At 43.5% G+C, this 26,827-nt stretch overlaps 1 long non-coding RNA gene and 1 pseudogene across 1 annotated transcript in view, besides 1 other annotated feature; one reads left to right on the forward strand and one right to left on the reverse strand.

Annotated features, from left to right (window-relative positions):
- The window catches only part of LINC01666 (long intergenic non-protein coding RNA 1666), a 46,880-nt gene that overhangs the window by 18,159 nt on the left and 1,894 nt on the right, over positions 1 to 26,827 (forward strand). The gene's annotated exons all lie outside the window — the stretch shown is intronic.
- Positions 12,325 to 12,525: a silencer, noted in NCBI's record as "peak4329 fragment used in MPRA reporter construct". NCBI's record gives its function as "represses an SCP1 promoter by STARR-seq MPRAs in K562 erythroleukemia cells {active_cell/tissue: K562}" and the evidence as "EXISTENCE:reporter gene assay evidence [ECO:0000049][PMID:32103011]".
- Positions 23,903 to 24,656, reverse strand: SNX18P10 (sorting nexin 18 pseudogene 10; annotated as a pseudogene).

Here is a 26,827-nt window from a genome sequence, read left to right on the forward strand (position 1 = left end):
TTCACTCTTGTTGTCCAGGCTAGAGGACAGTGGTGTGATCTCGGCTCACTGCAGCCTCCACCTCCCGGGTTCAAGCAATTCTCCTGCCTCAGCTCCTGAGTAGCTGGTATTACAGGCATTTGCCACCATGCCCGGCTAATTTTGTATGTTTAGTAGAGATGGGGTTTCTCTGTTTTGATCAGGGTGGTCTCAAACTCCCGACCACAGGTGATCCACCTGCCTCGTCCTCCCAAAGGGCTGGGATTACAGGCGTGAGCCACCGAGACTGGCCTGCTTGTTGTTTTCATCTCATCCTGATTTCTGAATACAGGAGAGGAGCTGAGTTGGTGTTCACTAACAAGCACGGAAGCTTTGTTACATTTACAGTGTCATTCTTGGCAAAACCTGAATGGTATGTTTGTGGGGTGATGAGATTCAGTCCCCTGTGACCTGTGCATCTGGCCAACACTGTGGTGACATCCTTAGGAATCAATGGGGAGGGAGAAAGTATTCAGGAGTTAGTGGGTCACATTTGACAAGGGCCAATAAAGAAATATGCAAAGACAAAAATCAAGAAGAACATTGTCATATGTTACACCTTTCGTTTATATAAATTTATGTCAATGATTCTAGCTTATGTTAATATGCAATGTATACAATATGCTAACATATACAATATATGTTTATAGTTTAAACATTTCTGTCATGTTTTCAGATTCTTTAAAGATTATATTACGCTTCCTATTTCAGATAGCTGTTTAAAATGAGTAAGGAGAAACGGATGTGTGCATCAGTTCTAACTGTTTATGGACTAAAACTAGTTGATTTCTTGGTTAAGAACAAAAAGTGACAACCTAATTAACTGAAAATTTTAAGTAGGCAATTATAGTTTTAGCTTTAACGTAAAATATTAACTATGCTCCATTCTTGCATTTTTAACCTAATACTCAATATAAATCGCTACATGCCGTTTCAGATCAAGGTTCTACTTGTGATCTCTCATGAGTTTTTCAAGGTTTTAATTATCTGAGATGTAACAATGTACCAGTAACCTTACTGGCTTAAACCAGGAATTTATTTTTTTACATGTCACAATTTTCTGGGTCAAGACACTGGACAGGGCGGTGTGGGTTGGTTGCTTCATGATGTCCTTGGTCTCATCTGGAAGGACTCTAGTGGCTGGGGACATGGAACAGGCACCCAGCCCTCTCTTCGTGGCCAGCACGGACTTCCTCCCAGTCTGGCAGCGTCAGGTAGTCAGGTTTGTCTGGTTTCTCCCAGGGTGTGTGTCCCAGAGGCCCAGGCAGAATCTGTAAGGCCTCTCATGATCGCCCCTCAGAAGTCCCAGAGCATCTCTCCTGCCACACTGCCCAGTCGCACTCATCACTGAGGCCAGCCATGATTCAAGGGCGGAAGGTGATTAGATTCCACCTCTTGATGAGAAGCATAGTAGGAACCTGCAGCAGTCTTTAATAAACCACAGCTTGTCCTCTGGTCGCAAACTATTAACATTTCTGCTACATGCAAATTATGCTTTGCCCCTCTCAAGAGCCCCAGAATGGTTTTCCTTATGGCACTGGCTGGTAGCCCAACTGAATCCTGAATCAGGTTGTGGTGGCCTGTCATCTGCACCAACACACACACAGCTGCAGTGAGGACTGAATCAGGTTGTGGTGACCTGTCATCTGCCCCTCCCCCCGACACAGCAACAGTGTGGACTGAATCAGATTGTGGTGGCCTGTCATCTGACCCCCCACACACAGCCACAGTGGGGACTGAATCAGGTTGTGGTGACCTATCATCTGAGCCCACAAACTCAGCCGCAGTGAGGGGACTGGTGTGAAAACAGTCGGCATTTCCCTTTAGAAGCTGTTGGTGGGAGGCAAGAAGGAAGTGCTGCCCTGCAGGCCCCGTCTAACAGTTGGTCATTCCCATGGGGTGCCTGTTACAGTTCTGTGATTAGTGCCCAGTCCTGGTCCCTGAGAACGGCGCCCAGTCCTGGTCCCTGAGAATGGTGTTTGTGTCCTTTTTCCTTCAGTGCCTGGGTTGCCTTTGACCAAGTTTCCCTGCCTTTTTCTTATGGTCAATAGGGTATTCAATGGCTTCTTTTTCATTTTTTTTCCTTTTCTTTTCTTTCTTTTTTCTACTTTGGCCTTTTGAGACAAGAAATTATTTCTTTATATTTTCTCTAAATTCTGTTTGAAAACTGAACCTCCTTGTTTAGATCATGTCCCTCTCCTGTCATATTTATTCAGTGACAGTTAGGGGAGGCTGGTAGCACTTTCCATGTTCTTCCCAGATGTCTCCTTAGGCAGATCCCTGAGATGGTGCAGTGCCCTTTCAGTTTCCATGTTGTGGCCGTAGTTTTCCCACAGTCCCTCAGCACGTAACTCTCAGGCCTTTTCTCCAGTTTCCAATGACATTTTCTCACCATCCTTCAGGCCCTGACCAAGAGTCTTGATGCTCTTCCAGGTTGCATGAATGGTCTCCTTGAGGCCCAGTTACAGGTCAGCCTCACAGTCGTGTCACATATTGTAGCTTCTGATTACCACAGCAGCTCATTTCCAGCGGTCATATTCTGTTCCAGTTTTCTATTCTGAAGAAACCATCCCCAAAACTTGGCAGCTTAAAACAACTCATTATTACTTGTTTTTTGGCTTTGAGAGTCTTGGTGGTCAGCTCATCTCACACACAGTTGCAGCCAAGCTGGATTGTGTGAAAGCACAGTGGGGTGGTGTGCAGGGTGGCTCACTAGTGGTTGGGAGTGGATGTTGCTGGAGGCTCACTAGTTGTTGGAAATCGGTGTTGCTGGAGGCTCAGTGGGGGATGTCAATGCATGTAGCTAGTCATGGACTGGCAGTGTGGTTTCCATCATGTCTCAGGGTAGTGGGATTTCCTGCCTGGTGACTGGCTTTCTCCTGGATAAGTGTTCTGTTTTCTCAGCCTGGCTTCTGAAGTCCCCAAATACCACCTTTGTCACCTTCTGTTGGCCAAATAAGTCAGTAGTCTGGTCAAGGTTTAAGGGGAATTGGTCCTCACAGAGAGAGGAGCAGGAAAGAAGTTGTCACCTTTAGTCTACCAGAAATGACATTTTTATAACAAGTTTGTTCCAAATACATTCCAGTTCCCCTTTTGAATACTTTTTGACTCACAGGGTATTTCAAAGTTTATTACTTGGTTTTCAGACATTTGAGGCTTTTCTGGATATCAATTTGTTGTTGGTTTCTAATTTAATTTCGAGTGTTCAGACAACATCTTTTGTATACTATTTCAGGCTTGAACCTTTTCTCAATCGATCGACATACAGTTTATCTTGGTACTGCCAAGTACCATTTGGGTCAGGATTTTGTCATTTAGATCCATATTTTTCCTATATTTTTATCTGGTTCTTCCATCAGTTACTGAGAGAGCACTATTAATTCACCAGCTATAATTTTGGATTGTCAATTTCCTGCTTTTGTCTGTTGTTTTTGATTCACATACTTTGAGGCTCTGTGTGTGTGTGTAATTTGTGTGCACTTTGAGGCACAATTTATAATTGTAACATCATCCTCTCTGATTATTTTATTTTTATTAAATTACCCTGTTTATTTCTGGTGATATATTTTGCTCTGAAGCCTCTTTCATCTAGTGTTAACATCTCTGTTGAAGCTTTTTATGATTAGTGTCTGGATAGCATATTTTTAAGATTAGTGTCTGCATAGCATATTTTTTCTCATACTTTGTTTGTGTCTTTGTGTTTAAATTGTGTCTCTGTGGATGCCATATTGTTGGGTCTTGCTTTCCTCTCAGGTCTGGCAGTCTCTGTCTTAAGTAGAGTATTTGTCCAGTTACATTGTAACTAATCATTGCTAAGGTTGGATTTAGGTCTGCCATTTTTCTACTTATTTTCTATTTGTTTGTTTATTTTTTTAAGACAGGGTCTTACTCTGTCACCCAGACTGTAGTGCAATGGTGCAATCTTGGCTCACTGCAACCTCTGCCTCCCAGGCCCAACCAATCCTCACTTGAGCCCCCTGAGTAGCTGGGACTACAGGTGCATGGCAACACACCTGGCTAATTTTTATATTTTTTGTAGAGATAGAGTTTTGCCATGTTGCACAGGCTGATCTTGAACTCCTGAGCTCAAGCAACCTACCCACCTTGGCATCCCAAATTGTTCATATTACAGGCATGAGCCACCATGCCTGGCCTTAGTCTGTGTTTTGATCTTCTATATATTCTTTCCTAACTTCTTTTGGGTTAAATATTTCTAAATATTCCAGTTTGATTAATCTTTTGGCTTTTTGAAATAATTTTTTATAGGCTGGGCATGTTGGCTTATGCTCATAATCTCAGCTCTGTGGGAGTCCAAGGGAGGTGGATTGCTTGAGCCCAGGAGTTTGAGACCAGCCTGGGCAACATGGGAAAACCCTCTCTACAAAAAAACCAAACCAAACTTTAGCCTGACATCTTGGTGTGCATCTGTAGTCCCAACTATTCGGGAGGCTCAGGTGGGAGGGTTGCTTGAGCCTGGGAGGTTGAGGCTGCAATGAGCTGTGATCATGCCATTGCACTCCTGCCAGGGCAACAGAGTAAGATCCTGTGTCAAAAAAGATCATTTTTTATAAATAATTTATTATTTTGAATTTTGGTAACAAACACATACCTTAAAATTTACCATCATAACCAGTTGTAAGTGTACAGTTTTGTAGAGTTAAGAATATTTACAGTGTTGTGTAGCAGATTTCTAGATGTTTTTTTATCTTGGAAAACTCTATACTCATTCAACAACTATTAATTTCCCGTTCCTTCCACCTCCTGGCAAGTACTATTCTACTTTGTGTTTCTAAAACTTTGGCTTATATACCTAGGTTTATATAATATTTGTTGTTTTGTAAGTAGGTTCCATGTTATGTGTCAGATGTGTCAGGATTTTCTTCCTTTCTATTGCTGAATAATATTTCTTCATATATATATATATATATATTTCTCTCTCTCTCTCTATATATATATATATATCCTTTTGTTTATCCATCTATTCCTGGATGGACGTTTTGGTTTCTTCCACTTGTGGCTGTGTAATGATCCTGTGAACATAGGTGTGGAAGTATCTGTTGGAGGTCCTGCTACTAGTTATTCTGTCTCTGTAGAAGTTGGATGGCTGGATCATATGGTCATTTTATTTTGTTTTTTTTGAGGAGCCAGTTCATATTTCCACCAACAGTGTTCAAGGGTTTCAGTTTCACCTGCACTTGTTACTTTCTGTTGGGTTAGAAGTGATGTCCCATTGTGGTTTCTATTTGCATTTCTTTAATGACTAGTGATGTTACACATCTTCTCATATATCTCATGTATCTGTTGGCTATTTTTATATCATCTTTGCATCTTTGGATAAATGTTCTTTGTCCATTTTTTAATCACTTTATTTTGTTGTTGTGTTGTAGTGGGGTTTTTTGGTCATGATCATTCATTTATCTCACAGTTCATTCTTGTTACTTGGGCCAGGGTCATGGTCATTCATTATCTCTCAGTTCATCCTCATTACGTTGGGTAAACAGTCATGCTGCAGGGTATAGATTATGTTATTCTGTTACTTTCAGGTAGAATTGGGGTCTAGGTTCTAATTGTTTCTAAGTTCAGATTCTGAATGAGAATCAGCAGAGGTAGACCACTGCTGCTGAGGCCTGGGGATTGCTGGGGAAAAGGCAGGAAACAGATACGGACCTGACCATGGAAGGTTTGTGTTTCACGGCTCCCATCTGGGTACCCAAGGAACCTACATGTAGCTCGTGTGTGGAAAGCCTACATTGCCCACTCAAAGCAATTGAGGATGGAACAGTCTTGGGGCTGGAGCTCATTATTTGGAATGATAACCACATCTGCACAGAGAGGACCTGATAAGATGTTGTCCTTCCATGTATATCTGGGAATCCTGTGTAGGGTCTCTCTGTAAGGACAAGGGCAGTGTTGGCTCCTTGGCCTCTAGTTAGCCTCACAAGTAGTCTAGTAAAGGCTTTGCAAACTTGTCACCATCTGTGGACATTCTGGCCAGCTCTTGTTTTCACCCTACTGACTTCTTCAGACACTAGGCTTTTGCTTTAGACCATTCATGGTTTTTCTTCCTCTTCAAATCAGTAATCAATAAATCGTCTTCAAGTCAATAAATTTCCACTCCTTTAGGAAACCCTGATCTTCTGGTCACACCAAGGTTTAATTATCTGGTTTGATTGTTTTTCTGTTTTGTTTTTTTTTTCCTTCTTCCTAGGGGATTCTAGTAATTCTAGTTTGATGTCTCACTTTCTCCATTTTTTATTTCTTAGTTTTCTTCTGTGATTATTTTCACTGCAGCTGCAGGGCCTAATCCTAGGTTGGCAGAGAACTAGCACTTACTCTGCCCTAATTGGAATCCAGGAGAGATAGGAGGTGCCCTAGTGTGAAAATGTGTTTGCTCCTCTCTGCTTCTGGTAGTCTCTCTGTAGGAGTTCTTTACGTATTCTGTATGTTCACTTCTTATGAGATACATGATGAGCAACTATAGATTGAATGTCTCCGATCCAAAAATCTGAAATCCCAAATGCTCCAAAGTCTGAAACTTTTTGAGTGCCAACATGACACTCAAAGGAAATGCTTATTGGAGCATCTCAGACTCAGGTGTTTGAATTCGAGATGCTCAACCAGTAAGAATAGTGCAAATATTACAAAATCTGAAACACATCCCAAGCATTTCAAATAAGGGACACTCAACTGGTATTTTCTTTTATTCTACAGTTTGCCTTTTACCCTGTTGGTTGTGACCTTTGTGGTACAGAAGTTTTTAGGTTTGATATATTTTTGCTTTTACTGCCTGAGCTTTTAATGTCATATCCTAAAAATTATTGACAAATTCATCATCATAAAGCATTTTCCAAATTTGTTTTCCCTAGGAGTTTGATAGTTCTAGTTTTACATTTAGGTTTATAATTCACTTTGAATTAATTTTAACGTGGTGTAAGGTAAGAGTCCAACTTCACTGTTTTGCATGTAGATATACAATTTTCCCAACACAATTTGTTGCAGAAACTGTCCTTCACCATTGAGTGGTCTTGGCATCCTTGTGGAAGGTCATTGGACCATATATGCCAGGGTTGGTTTCTAAGGTCTCTGTTGTGTTGGTCCATAAGTGTGTCAAGAGTGTCTTTATGCCATGACCACATTTTTTTTTTGGCTTATTGCAGTTTTGTAATTGTTTTGAGACCTTTAATTTTGTTCTGTTTCAAGATCGATTTGCCTATTCATGGGCACTGGAGATTCCATATGAGTTTTAAGATAGGTTTTTCTGTTTATCAAAAATGTCATTGGAATCTTTATAAGGATTGTAATGAATCTAGGTCACTTCGAGTAGTGTTGACATCATTCCAAGATGAAATCATCTAATCTGCAAACCCAGCTTTTCTTTTCATGTATTTGTGTTTAATTTCTTTCAACAGTGTTTTGTAGTTTTCTGTGTTCAAATCTTTTGCCCTCTTGGTTAAGCTTATTTATAATTTTTTAATGCTGTTGTAAATGTAATTTTTTTTTTTTTTGAGATGGAGTCTTGCTCTGTCTCCCAGGCTGGAGTGCAGTGGCACTATCTCAGGTCACTGCAACCTGCACCTTCCTTATTCAAGCAATTCTCCAACGTCAGCCTCTCAAGTACCTGGGATCACAGGTGCACGCCACCACGCCCAGCTAACTTTTTGGTATTTTTAGTAGAGACAGGGTTTCTCCATGTTGACCAGGCTAGTCTTGAACTTGTGACCTCAGGTGATCTGCCCGCCTCGGCCTCCCAAACTGCTGGGATTGCTAGCATGAACCACCGCACCCGGCCAAATGTCATTCTTTTTAAAAATTTCTTTTGTTTTCTCTTTCTTTTCTTTTCTTTCTCTCTCTTTCTTTCCTTTCTTTCTTTTTTTTGAGACCGCGTCTCACTCTGTTTCCTAAGCTGCAGCACAGTGGCACAATCTCAGCTGACTGCAACCTCCAACTTCCAAGTTCAAGCAATTCTCCTGCCTCAGCCTCTCAAGTAGCTGGGACTACAGGTGTCTGCCACTATGCCCAGCTAATTTTTGTATTTTTAATAGAGATAGAGTTTTACTATTTATATTAGAGATGGGGTTGGCCCAGCTGGTCACGAACTCCTGACCTCAGGTGGTCCACCCGCCTTGGCCTCCCAAAGTGCTGGGATTACAACTGTGAGCCACTGCACCTGGCCTCTTTTTAAAATTTTATTTGCAGATTGTTCATTGTTAGTTTATAGAAATGCAACTGACTTGAGTGTGTTACTATATCCTGAAACTTTGTTGAATTTCATTATTCTACCAGTATTTTGTGGAATTTCAGAATTTTTACACATTACATCATGTTGTCTGTGAACAAAATTTTGTACTTTTTCCTTTCCAATTTGCATGCTTTTTATTACTTTCTCTTGCCTAATTATTCTAAGTAGAAATTCCAGTGCTGTGGTGAATAGAAGTGGCAGGAAGAGAAGTTGCTATCTTATTCCTGACCCTAGAGGAAAAGATTTTAGTTTTTCACGATTGAGTATGATGTTAGCTGTGAGCTTTTCATGTATAATCTTTATTTACTGAGGAGTTTCCATATATTACTAATTCTTTGAGTGTTTTTATTACAAAAGGTGTTCATCTGGCTCTGGAACCAGATAAATGTTGACCTGATAGAATGGATTGGAATGTCCCCTTCTGGTTTTTGAACATTTTTGGAATATTTTGCAGAGGATTGGCATTAATTCTTCTTGAAATGTTTGGTAAAATTTTCCAGTGAAGTTATCTGGACCTGGAATTTTCTTTTTGGTGGGGTTTTTGATTACTGGTTGAATCTTCATACTAGTTACAGGTCTCTTTGGATTTTTTATTTCTCCGTGATGCAGTATGGTGGTTTGTGTTTCTAGGAATTTATAAATTTATTCTAGGTTGCCCAGTTTTGTGGCATATGGTTGCTCACATTAGTGTCTTGTAATCTTTTTCATTTCTGTGGCATCTGTTGTATTGTCAACTCTTTTATTTATGATTTTAGTATTTGAGATTTCTCTTTTTTTCTTAATATAGCTGTGAGTTTTAAAATTTTTATTGATCTTTAAAAAAACAAACTCAGTGTTTTTTTTCCTTTTTTTCTGGTCTTATTCTGCTTATCTCTGCTCTAATCTGTTATTTTCTTCCTTTTGCTTGGTTTGTCATTAGTTTTTTTTTTTCCTCCTTCAGGTGTAATATTAGGTTATTGATTTGAGATCTTTCTTCTTTTTAATTTAAGCACCTGCAGCTATAAGCTTCCCTTTAGCAAGGGTTTGAGATCTTTCTTCTTTTTAATTTAAGCATCTGCAGCTGTAAGCTTCCCTTTAGCACGGGTTTGAGATCTTTCTTCTTTTTAATTTAAGGATCTGCAGCTGTAAGCTTCCCTTTAGCATGGGTTTGAGATCTTTCTTCTTTTTAATTTAAGCATCTGCAGCTGTAAGCTTGCCTTTAGCACTGCCTTTGTTGCCTCCTCCAGAGTTTGAGTATGTCATGGTTTCGTTTTCATTTGCTAAAACATTTTTTGTCCTATTGTAATATAATTGTGTTGTTTTTAATAAAGGTAATTAATGAAACACATAATGAATTGTGCTTCTGTTTTTATAATATTTTAAGCATTCTTAACTCAGAAATGTAAATTTTAGAAAAAAATTCCAGGCCAGGCACACTGGCTCACACCTGTAATCCCAGCACTTGAGGAGGTCGAGGCGGGAGGATCATCTGAGGTCAGGAGTTGGAGACCACCCTGGCCAACATGGTGAAACCCTGTCTTTACTAAAAATAGAAAAAAATATATAAAAGTTAGCTGCGTGTCATGGCGGGTGCCTGTAATCCCAGCTACTCTGGAGGCTGAGGCAGGGGAATCACTTGAATCTGGGAGGCGGAGGTTGCAGTGAGCTGAGATTGCACCACTGCACTCCAGCCTGGGTGACAGAATGAGAGTCCGTCTCAAAAAAAAAGAAAAAAGAAAAAATTTCAGACATATTTATTTGTATTTCAATTTAGAAACTATGATCTCCTAAGTGTATTGACACAGCAACCTGACATAAAGATAAAGAATAATAAGCATATAACAAAACAGAAACTTGCAAATACCTGTTTTTTATTAATTTTTAATTATATGTATTTAAAAATTGCCGGGTGCAGTGGCTTACACCTGTAATCCCAGCACTTTGGGAGGCTGAGGTAGGCAGATCACATGAGGTCAGGAGTTTGAGACCAGCTTGGCCAACATGGTGAAACTTCATCTCTATTAAAAATCAAAAAATTAGCCAGGCTTGATAGCATGCATCTGTATTCCCAGCTACTCGGGAGACTGAGGCAGGAGAATTGCTTGAACATGGGAAGCAGAGGTTGCAGTGAGCCAAGATAGTGCCACTGCACTCCAGCCTGGGTGACAGAGTGAGGCTCTGTCTCAAAAAAATAAAAATTGTCTGGGCGCGGTGGCTCACACCTGTAATAGCAGCACTTTGGGAAGCTGAGGCAGGCAGATCACGTCAGGAGATCGAAACCATCCGGGCTAACACAGTGAAACGCCATCTCTACTAAAAATACAAAAAATTAGCTGGGCGTGGTGGCGGGTGCCTGTAGTTCCAGCTACTCTGGAAGTTGAGGCAGGAGAATGGTGTGAACCTGGGAGGTGGAGCTTGTAGTGAGCTGAGAATGCGCCACTGGACTCCAGCCTGGGTGACAGAGCAAGACTCTGTCTCAAAAAAATAAAATAAAATAAAGCTAAGGTGTGGTTGACACACAAAAATTACACATATTTAATATATACCGTGTGTGTGTGTGTGTGTGTGTGTGTGTGTGTTTGTGTGTGTTACGGAGGTTTTACTCTTGTTGTCCAGGCTGGAGTGCAGTGACACGATCTCAGCTAACTGCAACCTCCGCCTCCCGGGTTCAAGCAATTCTCCTGCCTCAGCCTCCTCAGTAGCTGGGATCACAGGCGTGCGCCCCCACGCCTGGCTAATTTTTGTATTTTTTTAGTAGAGACAGGGTTTCACCATGTTGGCCAGGCTGGTCTCGAACTCCTGACCTCAGATGATCCACCTGCCTCGGCCTCCCAAAGTGCTGGGATTACAGGCGTGTGACACCGAATATATACATCTTAATGAGTATAGAGATAAGTATTCGCCCCAGGACTCATCACAACAAATAATGCCGTAAACTTGACCATCACTCCCCATATATTTCTCATTCTCACCCTTTTTAAAAAATGAGACCGGGAGTGGCGGCTCATGCCTGTAATCCCAGCAATTTGGGAGGCCAAGGCAGGTGGATCACGAGGTCAGGAGATCAAGATCATCCTGGCTAACACAGTGAAACCCCATTTCTACTAAAAATACAGAAAATTAGCCATGCGTGATGGCGGGCACCTGTAGTCCCAGCTACTCGGGAGACTGAGGCAGGATAATGGTGTGAACTCGGGAGGCAGAGCTTGCAGTGAGCCGAGATCGTGCCACTGCACTCCAGCCTGGGCAACAGAGTGTGACTCCGTCTCAAAAAAAAAAAAATGAGATGACCATTTCACATAAAATATACCCTCTTAAGTACTTTTTTAAGTGTACAATACAGGACGGCCATGCATCAGAGATATATGTGGGTTTGGTTCCAGACCACTGCAATAAAGTTTTATACAATTTCTTTTGGTTTCCTAGTGCATGTAAAAGTATGTTTATACTGTGCTGTATAAAGTGTGCAATAGCATATGTCTACAAAGTATGCACACTTTAATTTACAAATACTTTATTGTTAACAAGTGCTAACAGTCATCTGAGCCTTCAGAAAGCTGCAATCTTTTTTTGTGTGTGTGACAGGGTTTTACTCTGTGGCTCAGGCTGGAGTAATTGCAGCCTCAACCTCATGCTCAATCAAACCCCCACCTCAGACTCCTGACTAGCTGGGACTACAGGTGCATGCCACCGTGTCCAGCTAATTTTTGTATTTTTTTTTGTAGAGATGTGGTTTTGCCATGTTGCCTTGATGTCCTGGGCTCAAGCAATCCACCCACCTTGGCCTCCCAAGGTGTTGGGATGACAGGTGTGAGCCACTGCACCTGGCCAAGTTTCAGTCTTCTTGCTGATGGAGGGTCTTACCTTAATGTAAGGTGGTGGTTGCTGAGCGCTGGGGTGGCTGTCGCAATTTCTTAAAAAAAGACAACATTGAAGTTTGCTGTGTCAATTGACTCTCCCTTTCACAAAAGAATTATCTGTAGCATACGATGATAGCTTTTTACCCACAGTAGAACTTTCAAAATTGGATTCAATGCTGTCAAACCTTCGTACTGCAGTACCAACTAAGTTTATGTATTATTGTAAATCATTGGGTTCAATCCTGTCAAGCCTTCCTTCTGCTGTACCAAGTTTATTCTAAATCTGTTGTCATCTCAACATTGTTTACACTGTCTTCACCACTAGTAGATTTCATCTCAAGAAACCACTTTCTTTGCTCATCCGTGGGAGCAACTCATCCTCTCACGTTTTCTCCAGAGGATGCTGCAGTCTCGCCAGATCTTCAGGCTCTGTCTCTGATTCTAGTGCTCTTGTTATTTCCACCATATCTGCAGTTACTTCCTCCACAGAAGTGGTGAACCCCTGTGTCATCAGTGAGGGTTGGAATAATCTTCCCAACTTTTCTCTCTCTCTTTTATTTTTTTGAGATGAAGTCTTGCCTGGGCTGGAGTGCAGTGATGCGATCTCAGCTCACTGCAACCTCCACCTCCCGTGTTCAAGCAATTCTCCTGCCTCAGCCTCCCAAGTGTTTGGGATTACAGTCACCCCCGACCAGGCCCAGCTAATTTTTTTGTTGTTTATAGTATAGACAGGATTTCACTATGTTGGCCAGGCTGGTCTCAAATTCCTGACCTCATGATCCACGTGCCTTGGCCTCCCAAAGTGCTGGGATTACAGGCGTGAGCCACCAAGCCCAGCCCCAACTTCTCCTAATGTTGCTATTTTGATCTTCTTTTTTAAATCATGAATGTTCTCAATGGCGTCTAGAATGGTGAATCCTTTCCAGTAGGTTTTCAATTATTTTGCCCAGATCCATCAAAGGAATCACTTGCTAGAGAAGCTATAGCTTTATGAAATATATTTTTTAAGTGATAAGACTTGAAAGTTGAAATTATTCTTTGATCCAAGGGCACCAGAATGAATGTTGGGTTAGTAGGCATGAAAACAATATTCAGCTCTTTATACATCTCTGTAAAAGCCCTTGAGTACCAGCGGCATTGTCAGTGAGTGGTAATACTTTGAAAGGAATCTTATTTCTTGAGCGGTAGTTGTCGACAGTGGGCTTAAGATATTCAGTAAACCGTATTTGTAAACCGATAGTCTGTCATCCAGGCTTTGTTCCCATTTGTAGAGTACAGGCAGAGCTGTGTTTTATCATAATTCTTCAGGGCCCTTGGATTTTCAGAATAGTAAATCATCATTGGTTTCATGTTAACATCACCAACTGCATTAGGCCTTAACAAAAGAGTCAGCATGTCCTTTGAAGCCTTAAATCCAGGCATCAACTCCTCTCTAGCTGGGAACATCCTGGATGGCATCTCCTTCTAGTAGAATGCTGTTTTGTCTTCATTGCAAATCTGTTTAGTGTAGCCATCTTAATCAATTATCTTCCAGATAGCTTTCTGCAGCTTTTCCATCAGTACTTGCTGCTTTATCTTGCGCTTTTATGTTATGAAGAAGACTTTTTTCCTTAAACTTCAAGAAACAAGCTCTTCTAGCTTCAGACTCTTCTTCTGCAGCTGCCTCACCTCTCTAAGTCTTCATAGAATTGAAGGGAGGCCGGGTGTGGTGGCTGTCACACCTGTAATCCTAGCACTTTGGGAGGCCGAGACAGGCAGATCACCTGCGGTCGGGAGTTCGACACCAGTCTAACCAACGTGGAGAAACCGCGTCTCTACTAAAAATACAAAAAATTAGCCAGGTGTGGTGGTGCATGCCTGTAATCCCAGCTACTCAGAATGCTGAGGCAGGAGAGCTTGAACTTGGGAGGCAGAGGTTGCGATGAGCCAAGATCACGCTATTGTACTCCAGCTTGGGCAAGAAAAATGAAACTCTGTCTCAAAAACAAAGAAAAAAGTAAAAAGAGAGTTAGGCTTAGGCTTAATGGATTTTTTTTTATCTTCTATCTAGATCAATTAAACTTTCTTCATAACAGCAGCAAGATTGTTTAGCTTTTTATCATTCATGTATTCACTGGAGTAATACTTTAAATTTCTTTCCAGAACACTTCCTTTGCATTCACAACTTGGCTAAGTGTTTGTTGCATGAGGTCTAGCTACTGGCCTGTCTTGCTTACAGCATGCCTTAATCACTAAGCTTAATTATTTCTTTCTTTTGGTTTAAAGTGACAGACATACAACTCTTCTTTCACTTGAACATACAGAGGCTATTGTAGGGTTATTAATTGGCCACATTTTAATATTAATAAAAAGAAGCCTGAGAAAAAGAGAGAGAAAGAGAAATGGCCCGTTGGTGGGGCAGTCAGAACAAACGCATTTGTCAATTGTTTGCTGTCTTATCCTGGTGTGATTTGTGGTTCCCAAAACAATGACAACAGTAGCATTAAAGATCACTCATTACAGATCACCATAACGATTCAATAATAAAAATCTTAAAATACTGTGAGAATGACCGAAATGTGACACAGAGACGTGAAGTGAGCACGTGCTGTAGGAACAATGGTGCCAGTCAGACCTGCTTATTGCAGGGTGGCCACAAACCTTCAATATGTAAAACACATGGTCACAAAACACAATAAAGCAAAGTGCAGTGAATCAAGTCTTTTGATAGACTCTGACAATCTCTATCTTTGAATTGGTACATTCATACCATTAGCATTCAAAGTGATTATTGATATCATTAGATTAATATCTACTATATTTGTTACTGTTTTCTATTCATTCTCCTCAGTCTCCATTCTTTTGTCTACCAGTCTTTTTCTGCCTTTTGCAGTTTTCATTGATGATTTTAGATGACTACATTTTCCCTGTCTTTCTTAGCATGTACTTCTCTTTTTAAAACTTTTTTTAACTAGTTGCCACAGAATTTGCGATATACATTTACAACAAATTCAAGTCCACTTTCAAATAACACTATCCCACTATCCCACGAATAAGACTACCTGCTTAACAAACAAAACACCTAATTCCTCAGTAACATTTATAACAAATTCAAGTCCACTTTCAAATAACACTATCCCACTATCCCACAAATAAGACTACCTGCTTAACAAAGAACACACCTAATTCCTCAATATACATTTACAACCAATTAAAGTCCACTTTCAGATAACACTATCCCACTTCACGGGTGACTACCTGCTTAACAAAGAAAACACCTGATTCCTCCCTCCCATCCTTCCATTCCATTCCTTGTATTATTGTTCCTTATTTCACTTGTGTATAAGCATACATAATCTATCTGTGTGTATTTATTATTATCTACAAACTTATTGGTCAGATCAATTATGAATAAATACATGTTTTTATTGTACCACAATTCCTCCCTCCCATCCTTCCATTCTATTCCTTGTATTAGTGTTACTCATTTCACTTGTGTTTAAGCATACATAATCTATCTGTGTGTATTTGTTATTGTCTATGAACTTCTTGGTCAGATCAATTAAGAATAAATACATAGGTTTTTATTGTACCACAATTCTTTAATGCTCTTTTTAAAAAAATGTTGATCCAGGTTTCAGTTATATATCTTTTGTTTCCCTCTAAAGAATTTCATTTAACATTTCTTGCAAGACAGGTCTCCTGGCAACAAGTTTCTTGAATTTTTATTTTTCTGAGGAAGGCCTTAATTCTCCTTCACTTTTGAAGGGTGTTTTCAGTGGGTACAGAAACTTAGGTTGGTGGGTTTTTTCTGTCAACATTTTGATTTTTTCATTTCACTGTCTTCTTGCTTTCACAGTTTCTGCAATGTTGAATGCAGTTCTTATCTTTGTGTCTCTGTAGGTAAGGTGTTTTCTGCCCCACCTCTGGTTTCTTTCAGAGTTTTCCTTTATTTTTTATTTCATATAGTTTGAAAATTATATGTCCAAGTGTAGGTTGTTGGCATTTATTCTGCCTGGTGTTCTCAGAGCTTCCTGGATCTTTGGTTTGGTGTCTGACATTAATACTGGAAGTTCTCAGACATGGTTGTTGCAGAACTTTCTTCTATTTCTTCTCCTCCTCCTGGTATTCTCATTACTCTGTTTCACCTTTTGTAGTTGTCCCACAGTCTTGGATATCACCTTCTGTTCTTTTCAGTGTTTCTTTTCTTTAGTTTTCGAAGTTTCTGATGATAAATCCTCAAGCTCAGAGATTCTTTACTCAGCTGAGTCCAGTCTACTAATAAGCCATCAGAGGTATTCTTCAGTTATTTACCACATTTTTTACCACTACATTATGTTGAAGGTTCTTACGATGTCTGTCTTTCTGATTACATTACCCATCTATACTTGAATGCTGTCTAGTTCATTCATTAGGCCCTTAGCATATTCTCCAGAGGTTTAAAAAAAATTCCAAAATCATATCTTTGTCTGGTTCTGAAGCTTGCTCTGTTGACACAAATTATATTTTTTTCTTTTTTTGGATTTTAGTATGCCTTGCAATTTTTTCCCTTTATTCTCATGCATGAAGCACCCACTAAAAGTGACTGCTGTTAGTATAGCTTTAGTAATGCGGTGATGAGGTGACAGGGCAGGTGATGCTCTCTTAGTCTCTTTAGGCTACTATAACAAAATACTTTAGACTGAGTAATTCATAAACAACAGAGATATTGCTCACAGATCTGGAGGCTGGAAAGTCCAAGACTAAAGGGGCAGGATATTTAGTGTTTGGTGAAGGTCAAACATTCAGACACTCGCAACGACTATAGTGACAGCAGCAGTCTTCAGGAATCCTATGTGAGGGACAAACACTCAGAAGCCAGCTGGAGTGTTCCAGAATCCTATGTGAGGAACAATCAGACCACAGCAGGAATGTTCTGGAATCCTATGTGAGGGGCAAACATTCAGACCACAGCAGGAGTGCTCTGTAATCCTATGTGAGGGACAAACATTTCAAAACCTCGTAGCAGTGTGCTGGAATGTTATGTCAGGGACAGACATTTAGACCCTCGCAGCAGTGTTCTAGAATCTCATCTGCAGGACAAACATTCAGACACTCGCAGCAGTGTTCTGGAATTCTATGTGAGGGACATTCAAACCCCAACAGCAGTGTTCTAGAATCCTATGTGAGGGACAGACGTTCAGACCCCAGCAGCAGTGTTCTGGAATCCTATGTGAGGTACAAACATTCAGATACCAGCAGAAGTGTTCTGGAATCCTATGTGAGGGACAAACATTCAGACCCTCGTAGCACTGTTCTGGAATCCTATGTGAATGGCAAAAATTCAGACCACGGCAACAATGCTCAGGAATCCTATGTGAGGGACAAACATTCAGACCCTCCTAGCAGTGTTCTGGAATCTTATGTGAGGGACAAATATTCAAACCACAGCAGCAGTGTTCTGGAATCCTATGTGAAGGACAAACTTTCAGACCACAGCAGGAGAGTTCTGGAATCCTATGTGAGGGACAAACTTTCAGACAAAAGCAGGAGTGTTCTTAAATCCTATATGAAGGACAAATATTCAGACCCCAGGAACACTGTTCTGAAATCCTATGATAAGGGCAAACATTCAGACCCCAACATGAATGTTCTGGAATCCTATGTGAGGGACAAGCATTAAGACCATAGCAGGAGTATTCTGGAATCCTATGTGAGGGACAAACATTCAGACCCTTGTAGCAGTGTTCTGGAATCCTATGTGATTAACAAACATTGAGACCACAGCAGGAGTGCTCTGGAATCCTATGTGAGGGACAAACATTCAGACGCCAGAAGGAGTGTTCTGGAATCCTATGTGAAGGACAGACATTTAGACCCTCGAAGCAGTGTTCTGCAGTCTTAAGTGAGGAACAAAAATTCAGACCCTAGTAACAGTGTTCTGGAATCCTTTTTTGAGGGACAGACATTGAGACCTCAGCAGCAGTGGTCTGGTATCCTATGTGAGGGACAAACATTCACTCCCCAGCAACAGTGTTCTGTAATCGTATGTGAGGGACAAGCATTCAGACCCCAGCAGCAGTGTTCTGGAATCTTATGTGAGGGACAAACATTGAGACCCTCGTAGCAGTGTTCTGGAATCCTACGTGAGACACAAACATTCGTACCACAGCAGAAGTGTTCTGGAATCTTATGTGAGGGACAACCATTCAGACCACAGCAGGAGTGTTCTGGAATCCTATGTGAGGGACAACCATTCAGACCACAGCAGGAGTGTTCTGGAATCCTATGTGAGGGACAAATATTCAGACCCTCATGGCAGTGTTCTGGAATCCTTTGTGAGGGACAAACATTCACACCCCAGCAACACTGTTCTGTAATCGTATGTGAGGGACAAGCATTCAGACCCCAGCAGCAGTGTTCTGGAATCTTACGTGAGGGGCAAACATTGAGACCCTCGTAGCAGTGTTCTGGAATCCTACGTGAGACACAAACATTCGTACCACAGCAGAAGTGTTCCGGAATCTTATGTGAGGGACAACCATTCAGATCACAGCAGGAGTGTTCTGGAATCCTTTGTGAGGGACAACCATTCAGACCACAGCAGGTGTGTTCTGGAATCCTATGTGAGGGACAAATATTCAGACCCTCATAGCAGTGTTCTGGAATCCTTTGTGAGGGACAAACATTCAGACCCCAGCTGGAGGGTTCTGGAATCCTGTGTGAGGGACCAACATTCAGACCCTCGTAGCAGTGTTCTGGAATGCTATGTGAAAGACAACCATTCAGACCCTCATAGCAATGTTCTGGAATCCTATGTCAGGGACATTCAGAGCCCAGCCGCAGTGTTCTGGAATCCTATGTGACAGACAAACATTCAGACCACAGCAGGAGCGTTCTGGAATCCTATGTGACGGACAAACGTTCAGACCATAGCAGTAGTGTTCTGCAATCCAATGTGAGGGACAAACATTCAGAGCCCAGCAGCAGTGTTCAGGAATCCTATGTGAGGGACCAACAATCAGACCCTCGTAGCAGCGTTCTGAAATCCTATGTGAGGGACAAACATTCAGAACCCAGCCGCAGTGTTCTGGAATCCTATGTGACAGAAAAACATTCCGACCACAGCAGCAGTGTTCTGGAATCCTATGTGCGGTACAAACTTTCAGACCACAGCAGGAGAGTTCTGGAATCCTATGTGAGGGACAAACTTTCAGACCCCAGGAGCAGTGTTCTGAAATCCTATGTTAAGGGCAAGCATTTACATCCCAGCGTGAATGTTCTCGAATCCTAGGTAAGGGACAAACATTCAGACCACAGCAGGAGTGTTCTCGAATCCTATGTGAGGAACAAACATTCAGACCACAGAAGGAGTGTTCTGGAATACTATGTGAGGGACATTCATACCCTCTTAGGAGTGTTCTGGAGTCCTATGTGATGAACAAACTTTCAGACCACAGCAGGAGTGTTCTGGAATCCTATGTGAGGGTCAAACATTCAGACCCCAGCAGTAGTGTTCTGGAATCCTATGTGAGGGCAAACATTCAGACCCACGTGGCAGTGTTCTGGAATCCTATGTGAGGGACAAACATTCAGAACCTCGTAGCAGTGTCCTGAAATCTTATGTGAGGGAGAGACATTTAGACCCTCGCAACAGTGTTCTGGTATCCCATGTGAGGGACAAACATTCAGACCCTCCCAGCCGTGTTCTGGAATTCTATGTGAGGGAAAGACATTCAAACCCCAGCAGCAGTGCTCTGGAATCTGATTTGAGGGGCAGACATTCAGACCCCAGCAGCAGTGTTCTGGAATGCTATGTGAAGGACAAACATTCAGACCACGGGAGCAGTGTTCTAGAATCCTACGTGAAGGACAAACATTAAGACTCTCATAGCAGTGTCCTGGAATCATATGTGAGGAACAACCATTCAGACACCAGCAGAAGTGTTCTGGAATCCTAGGTGTGGGAAAAACATTCAGAACCTAGTAGCAGTGTTCTGGAATCCTATGTGAGGGACATACATTCAGACCACGGCAGCAGTGTTCTGGAATGGTATGTGAAGGACAAACATTCAGACCCTTGTAGCAGTGTTCCGGAATTCTATGTGAGGGACAAACATTCAGACCACAGCAGCAGTGTTCTGGAATCCTATATGACGGACCAACATTCAGACCCTTGCAACAGTGTTCTGGAATACTAGGTGAGGGAGAAATAGTCACACCCTTGTAGCAGTGTTCTGGAATTCTATGTGACTGACAAACATTCAGACTCCAGCAGCAGTGTTCTGTAATCCTATGTGAGCGACAAACATTCAGACCCCAAGGGCAGTGTTCTGAAATCCTATGTTAAGGGAAATATTGAGACCCCAGCATGAATGTTCTGGAATCCTATGTGAGGGACAAACATTCAGACCACGGCAGGAGTATTCTGGAATCCTATGTGAGGAACAAACATTCAGACCACAGCAGAAGTGTTCTGGAATCCTATATGAGGGATAAGCATTCAGACCCTCGTAGCAGTGTTCTGGAATCCTATGTGAGGGAGAAGCATTCAGAGCACAGCAGGAGTGCTCTGGAATCCTATGTTAGGGACAAACATTCAGAACCTCGTAACATTGTTCGGGAATCCTGTGTGAGGGACAGACATTTAGACACTCGCAGCAGTGTTCTGGAATCCCATGTGAGGGTCAAACATTCAGATCCTCACAGCAGTGTTCTGGAATTCTATGTGAGTGACAACCATTCAGACTCCAGCAGCAGTGTTCTGTATTCCTATGTGAAGGACAAACATTCAGAATCCAGGAGCAGTGTTTTGAAATCATATGTTAAGGGCAAACATACAGACCCTAGCATCAATGTTCTAGAATCATATGTGAGGGACAGACATTCAGACCCTCGCAGCAGTGTTCTGGAATCCTAGATGGGGGACAAACATTCAGACCCCAGCAGCAGGCTTCTGGAATCCTATGTGGGGGACAAACATTCAGACAATGGCAGCAGTGTTCTGGAATCCTATGTGAGGGACAAACACTCAGAGCCTTGTAGCAGTGTTCTGGAATCCTATGTGAGTGAGAGTGCCTGGAGCCTACCCAACCTGACGCCCCCAAAGCCTTCACAGGGTCTGACCTCCCAGCATGCACCTGCCTCTCCCTGAACCCCAACTGCCCACCCTGCCTTTTCCCTGGCCTCCTCCATCCTGTGCAGCCCATAGACTGTGACCATCTCTCCAGCCACTCTGGCCCTTCCTTTACCTTTGTCCTGTCAGAATCTCTGAGCAGGATCTCCCAGGTCCATCCAAATACGTGCTTTGTCCACTTTTGACTAGGCCCTTGGGCATCACTGGGCTATCCCAGCTGTCCACAGGGCCTTCAATAATGCACATTGCACCTGGCTTATCCAAGCAGTGCTCAGCAGCCCACATTGACCAGGTCCCTGCTGACCAGACCCCGCACATCAGGTCCTCCCTGATGACACCCTCACTGATTAGACCCTCATGACCAGGCCCCACTAACAAGGCCCCCACTGCCAGGCACACAATGACAAGGACTCCACCGACCAGGACCTTACTGACAAGGCCTCACGGACCAAGTCCTTACTGACAAGTCCTCACTGAGTAGGTCATTATTGACAAGGCCTCACTGATCAAGTTCCACTGATCATGACCTCATTCCCTGGCCCCAAAGATGAGGCCCCACTGACCAGACCTCCAGGGAACAGGTTGCCACTGATCAGGCCCCTAATAACCAGGCCTAAGATCACCAGATGCCCCTGACTGGGACCCTAGTGAGTAGACCCCACTGAACTGGCACCAAATGCTGAGATCCCCGCTGACCAGGTCACCCTGTAGACCAGTGCTGCAAAAGTCACCACTGACCAAGTCGTCTCTGACCAGGACGCTACAGATTAGGTCCCGCTGACAAGGCTGCCCTGACCAGGGCCCCACTGACAAGGGCCTCACTGATGAGGACATGCCCACCAGGGTCTGCTGACTAGGTCCCATGTGCCCAGTCCTCCACTGAATAGCACCCCTTGACCTGGTCACCAGTGCCCCAGCCCATGCTGACCAGGCCAGCACTAAGCCCCAGCTGACCAGGTCTCCACTGATCAAGCCCCACAGCCCAGGTTTGCACTGACCAGACACCAAACAACTGGCAGCCAATAGGTCCCCACTCACCAAAACCCCACTACTAGACCCCACTAATGAGACCCTCTCTAAGCAGACCCCTGCTGACCACGATCCCACTAAATAGTCCTCACTGACCTAGGTCCACTGACCAGGCCCACACTGATCAGGTCCCTCCTAACCACACCGGAAATCCAAGCGGCAATGACATGTTTCATATGGCAGAAGTTGGAACAAGACAGAGAGAGGAAAGAGGTTCCACAGCCTTTTAAACTACTAGATCTCATGAGAACTCACTCACTATCAGGAGGATGGCATTAAGGGCTTGGTGCTTTGCCATTTGTGAAGGATCCACTCCCACTCCTTTATGATTAAAGCTTTTTCCACCTAGGCCCCGACTCTAACATTAGGGAGTGTACTTTCACATGAGTTTTGGAAGGGGCATAGAGAAAAACCGTATTATTCTGTCCCTGACCCCACAAATCTCATGTCCTTCTCACATTGCAAAATACAGTCATGCCTTGCCAGCAGTCTCCCAAAGTCTTAACTCATTTCAGCATTAACTCAAAGTTACAAAGTCCAAAGTCTCATCTGGGTCAAGGCTACATTCTCTTTTGCCTACGAGTCTCTGAAATAAAAAGCAAGTTCACTGTGTCTAAGGTACAATGATGGTACAGGCATTGTGTAAGCTTTCTATATCCAAAAGAGAGACATTTTCCAGAAAGCTTCTTATTTTTATCTGAGACCCCCTCAGCCTGGCCTTCACTGTCCATGTTTTTGTCAGCATTCTTGTCACAGCCATTTAACCAGTCTCTAAGATGGTCCAAAAATGTTCTCATCTGTCTGTCTTCTTTGGAGCCCTCCAAACTCTTCCAACCTCTACCCATTACCCAGTTCCGAAGTTGCTTCCACATTTTCAGGTATCTTTATAGGAATGCTCCAGTCCTCATTTGCCATTTTTGGTAAGATTTATTTTGAAAAAGAGGTTTAATTGGCTCATGGTTCTGCAGAGTGGACAGGAAGCTTAGTGCTTCTGCTTCTGGGGGGCCTCAGAAATCTTTCAATCATTGTGCAAGGTAATGAAAGAGTGAATTGTCTCACATGGCAAGAGGAAATCACGGAGAGTAGGGAGTGATATAGAGTTTTCAGTGGCCAGATCTCACGAGAAGTCACTCATGATTGTGAGGACAGTACCAAGGGGATGGTGCTGAACCACTCATGAGAAATTTGCCTTCATGATTCAATCACCTTATACCAGGATCCACCTCCAACATTAGGAAGCATAACTCAACATGAGATTTGGTGGGGACACATATTCGAATTGCCTCATCAGTCTTTGAGTATAAAGACATCCATAGCAGGCTTTATCCAGCCAGCTTCTTTGGGGTTCTTTACAGGGTTTCTGGTCTATAGCATATCCACTAAAATATTCCTACTTCAAAAGGCAATAAAGTAAGTGGTATTATCATTCTTCAAAAAGTTATAATGGTAGTGTAGGCATTCATAGTATGATTTAGTTCATTTGCTACTGTTTCTATTCTATCACCATATTAACACTTTCCTACACAAGTCTATATTCACCTGGGTTTCAGTTGAGCACAAAGTCATCCTTGTACTACCACCGATAGCTGGCACCAGCCCTTTGATACTGTTATCATTCTGCTGTAGAAAGTACCCGTGCACTGGAAAAAGTCCACACTCGAATAGCTAGTCATTCAACACTATCAAATTTTAGGTGACTTTTTGAAAAAATAGTATCTCTTGTTGCAAGAAATGTTCCATCTGTGATTTCAAGTCTCTCGCTTGAGTGGATTGGATAGAAGTGGTGAATTTCAGCCAAAGTGGCCAAAGAAATCCTGTTCCTGTGATAATGATGCCATCAGCCTCTGTACCTCTGTCTTCCCTTCTGCCACATGTTGCCTGTTCTCCGTGACTGTCGTAAGAGCTTCCTTGTATATGAGGATGATGTCCAGGATGTTGGTCTGGTGTCCCTGAGACAGCACTAACAGGTCCATGGCTGGGTCCAGGTCCTTCCTGGACGGATTGGCAAGGAGCTCACTGATGTTCTTGAAGGCATCTCTGGTGAAGTGGATGGCCTAGTCAAGTTCCAAGGCCTGGCTGAGGCCGAAGAAAAACTGGCCGCCTTCTGAAGCTCTTTCTAAAAGCCTGTCACTGTCATCTGCTTGCATGTCAACTCATTGGCTGTGAGGTTGAGCTGAGTGGCCTGTGTCCATCTTCTTGGGGAAGTATTTGAAGCCATCAATCTTGCTCTCCCACCCCTAAAGGTTGATGGTCACCACCTGGGGGTGTGCTGAGGGTCAGAAAGAAGCCAGCACTCACCATCTCATCCTTCTCAGCCTTCCTCTTGCACTCTCTCCAGGCTGTCTCTTCAGTGCTGGTGGGATATATCAGAAAGTGATGGAAGATGTGGCACTGTGCCCACACCCAGAAGCTGGCCATGTGGTTGGCTCATCCACCAGAATGGATGCTCTGGTTGCTCTTTGAACCAGCTTGGCCTTGCCTGGCATGTACAGGCCCCAGGTACAGACACGTTGCTCTGAGTGAACTTGTCCTGCCTTGGGCCAAATTCTGTCAGGCCAGGGTCACAAAAGGCCGAGTTCCACGGGTGGTAATCCTGGCTGCTTTCTGCACTTCAACATAAAGACCTACTGAAGATGGCCTGTGGTCTGCCTCTTTGCAACCAAGAAGCCCGCAGTGCCATATGAGCCCTGAGGCATGGACTGGAGCCCCCAAGGCAGCGCACACGCTGCTCCTGAGCCTGCTGCTCATTTTCTCTGTGTGGCTCCATTTGTGTCACAGTTGTTGCACTGACTACTGCATACTGAGGAAGGCCAGGCTGGCTCAAAAAGCAACCGGCCACCTCTGCAAGGGTGTGCCTGGAGCTGGTGGACCAGCCACCAACCTGACTTGCTGCCGGTCGGGTTACATCAGTTCTTCTACCCTACAGGTAGGGCCACAGTGCTATCTGCTTTTCCTTAGGCCTCTGCTCCATCAGCCATCAGGAGGCAGCCCCTCAGGCTGTAGGAATCTGGCCATCCCTGCTTCCTTGAGTGGGTGAGGTTGGTGGTTGCTCCACCTGCTCCAGGCACACCCTTGCAGAGGTGGCTGCTTGCTCTTTGATCCAGCTTGGCCTTGCCTGGCATGCACAGGCCCCAGCTACCTATATGCCGTTCCAAGTCAGCTTGTAGTGTGTTGGGCCAAATTCTACCTCTGGCCAGGGCCACAGAAGGCCGAGTCCCCTGGGTGCTAATCCTGGCTGCTTTCTGCACTTGAACATAAAGTCCTCCTCAAGACCGTCTGTGGTCTGCCTCTTGGCGACCAAGAAGCCTACAGTGCCATACGAGCCCTGAGGCATGGACTGGAGCCACAAAGGCAGTGCACGCCCCATTCCTGAGCCTGCTGATCATTTCCTCTTTATGGCTCCATTTGTTGTACACTTGTTGCAGTGAGGCTTGTGCATGCCAGGCAAGGCCAAGCTGGCTCAAAGAGCAAGCAGCCACCTCTGCAAGGTGTGCCAGGAGCAGGTGGACCAGCCGCCAACCTCACTCACTGTCAGACGTGGTACATCAGTTCTTCTACCCTAAAGGTGGGGCCGAGAAGTAGACCACAGGCCATCTTGAGGAGGACTTTATGTTCAAGTGCAGAAAGCAGGCAGGATTACCACCCAGGGGACTCAGCCTTCTGTGGCCCACAGTGCCATATGAACCCCGAGGCATGGACCGGTGCCAACTGCTTTATACAAAAATTAACTTAAGATAGATTAAAGAGTTAAACATGCCACCTGCTTTTCCTCAGGCCTCTGCTCCATCAGCCATCAGGAGGCAGCCACTCAGGCTGTGGAAACCTGGCCATCCTGGCTTCCTTCAGTGTGTGAGGTTGGTGGCTGGTCCACCTGCTCCAGGCACACCCTTGCAGAGGTGGCTGGTTGCTCTTTGAGCCAGCTTGGCCTTGACTGGCATGCACAGGCCCCAGGTACTGACACGTTGCTCTGAGTGAGCTTGTCCTGCCTTGGGCCAAACTCTGTCAGGCCAGGGTCACAAAAGGCCGAGTCCCACGGGTGGTAATCCTGGCTGCTTTCTGCACTTCAAAATAAAGGCCTCCTGAAGATGGCCTGTGGTCTGCCTCTTTGCACCCAAGAAGCCCGCAGTGTCATATGAGCCCTGAGGCATGGACTGGAGCCCCCAAGGCAGCGCACACCCTGCTCCTGAGCCTGCTGCTCATTTTCTCTGTATGGCTCCATTTGTGTCACAGTTGTTGCACTGACTTGTGCATGCTGGGCAAAGCCAAGCTGGCTCAAAAAGGAACCAGCCACGTTTGCAAGGGTGTGGCTGGAGTGATTGGACTAGCCATCAACGTCACCCACTCAAGGAAGCAAGGAATGCGTGTTTGTACCATGCATTTCATTACAGGTACATTTCCCCTGAGGTTGTTGGCCTAGGTTTCTTCTAGATTTTTTATTGTTTTAGGTCTTGCATTTAACTCTTTCATCCATATTACTTAATTTTTGTTTAAGGTGTATGGGTGTGGCCCAGTTTCAGTTTTCTGCATAAGGCTAGCCAGTTTTCCCAAGATCATTTATTAAATAGGGTATCCTTTACCCATTGCTTGTTTTTGTCAGGTTTGTCAAAG

Source organism: Homo sapiens, chromosome 21, assembly GCF_000001405.40.
Source record: "Homo sapiens chromosome 21, GRCh38.p14 Primary Assembly".
Lineage (NCBI taxonomy): Eukaryota > Metazoa > Chordata > Mammalia > Primates > Hominidae > Homo > Homo sapiens.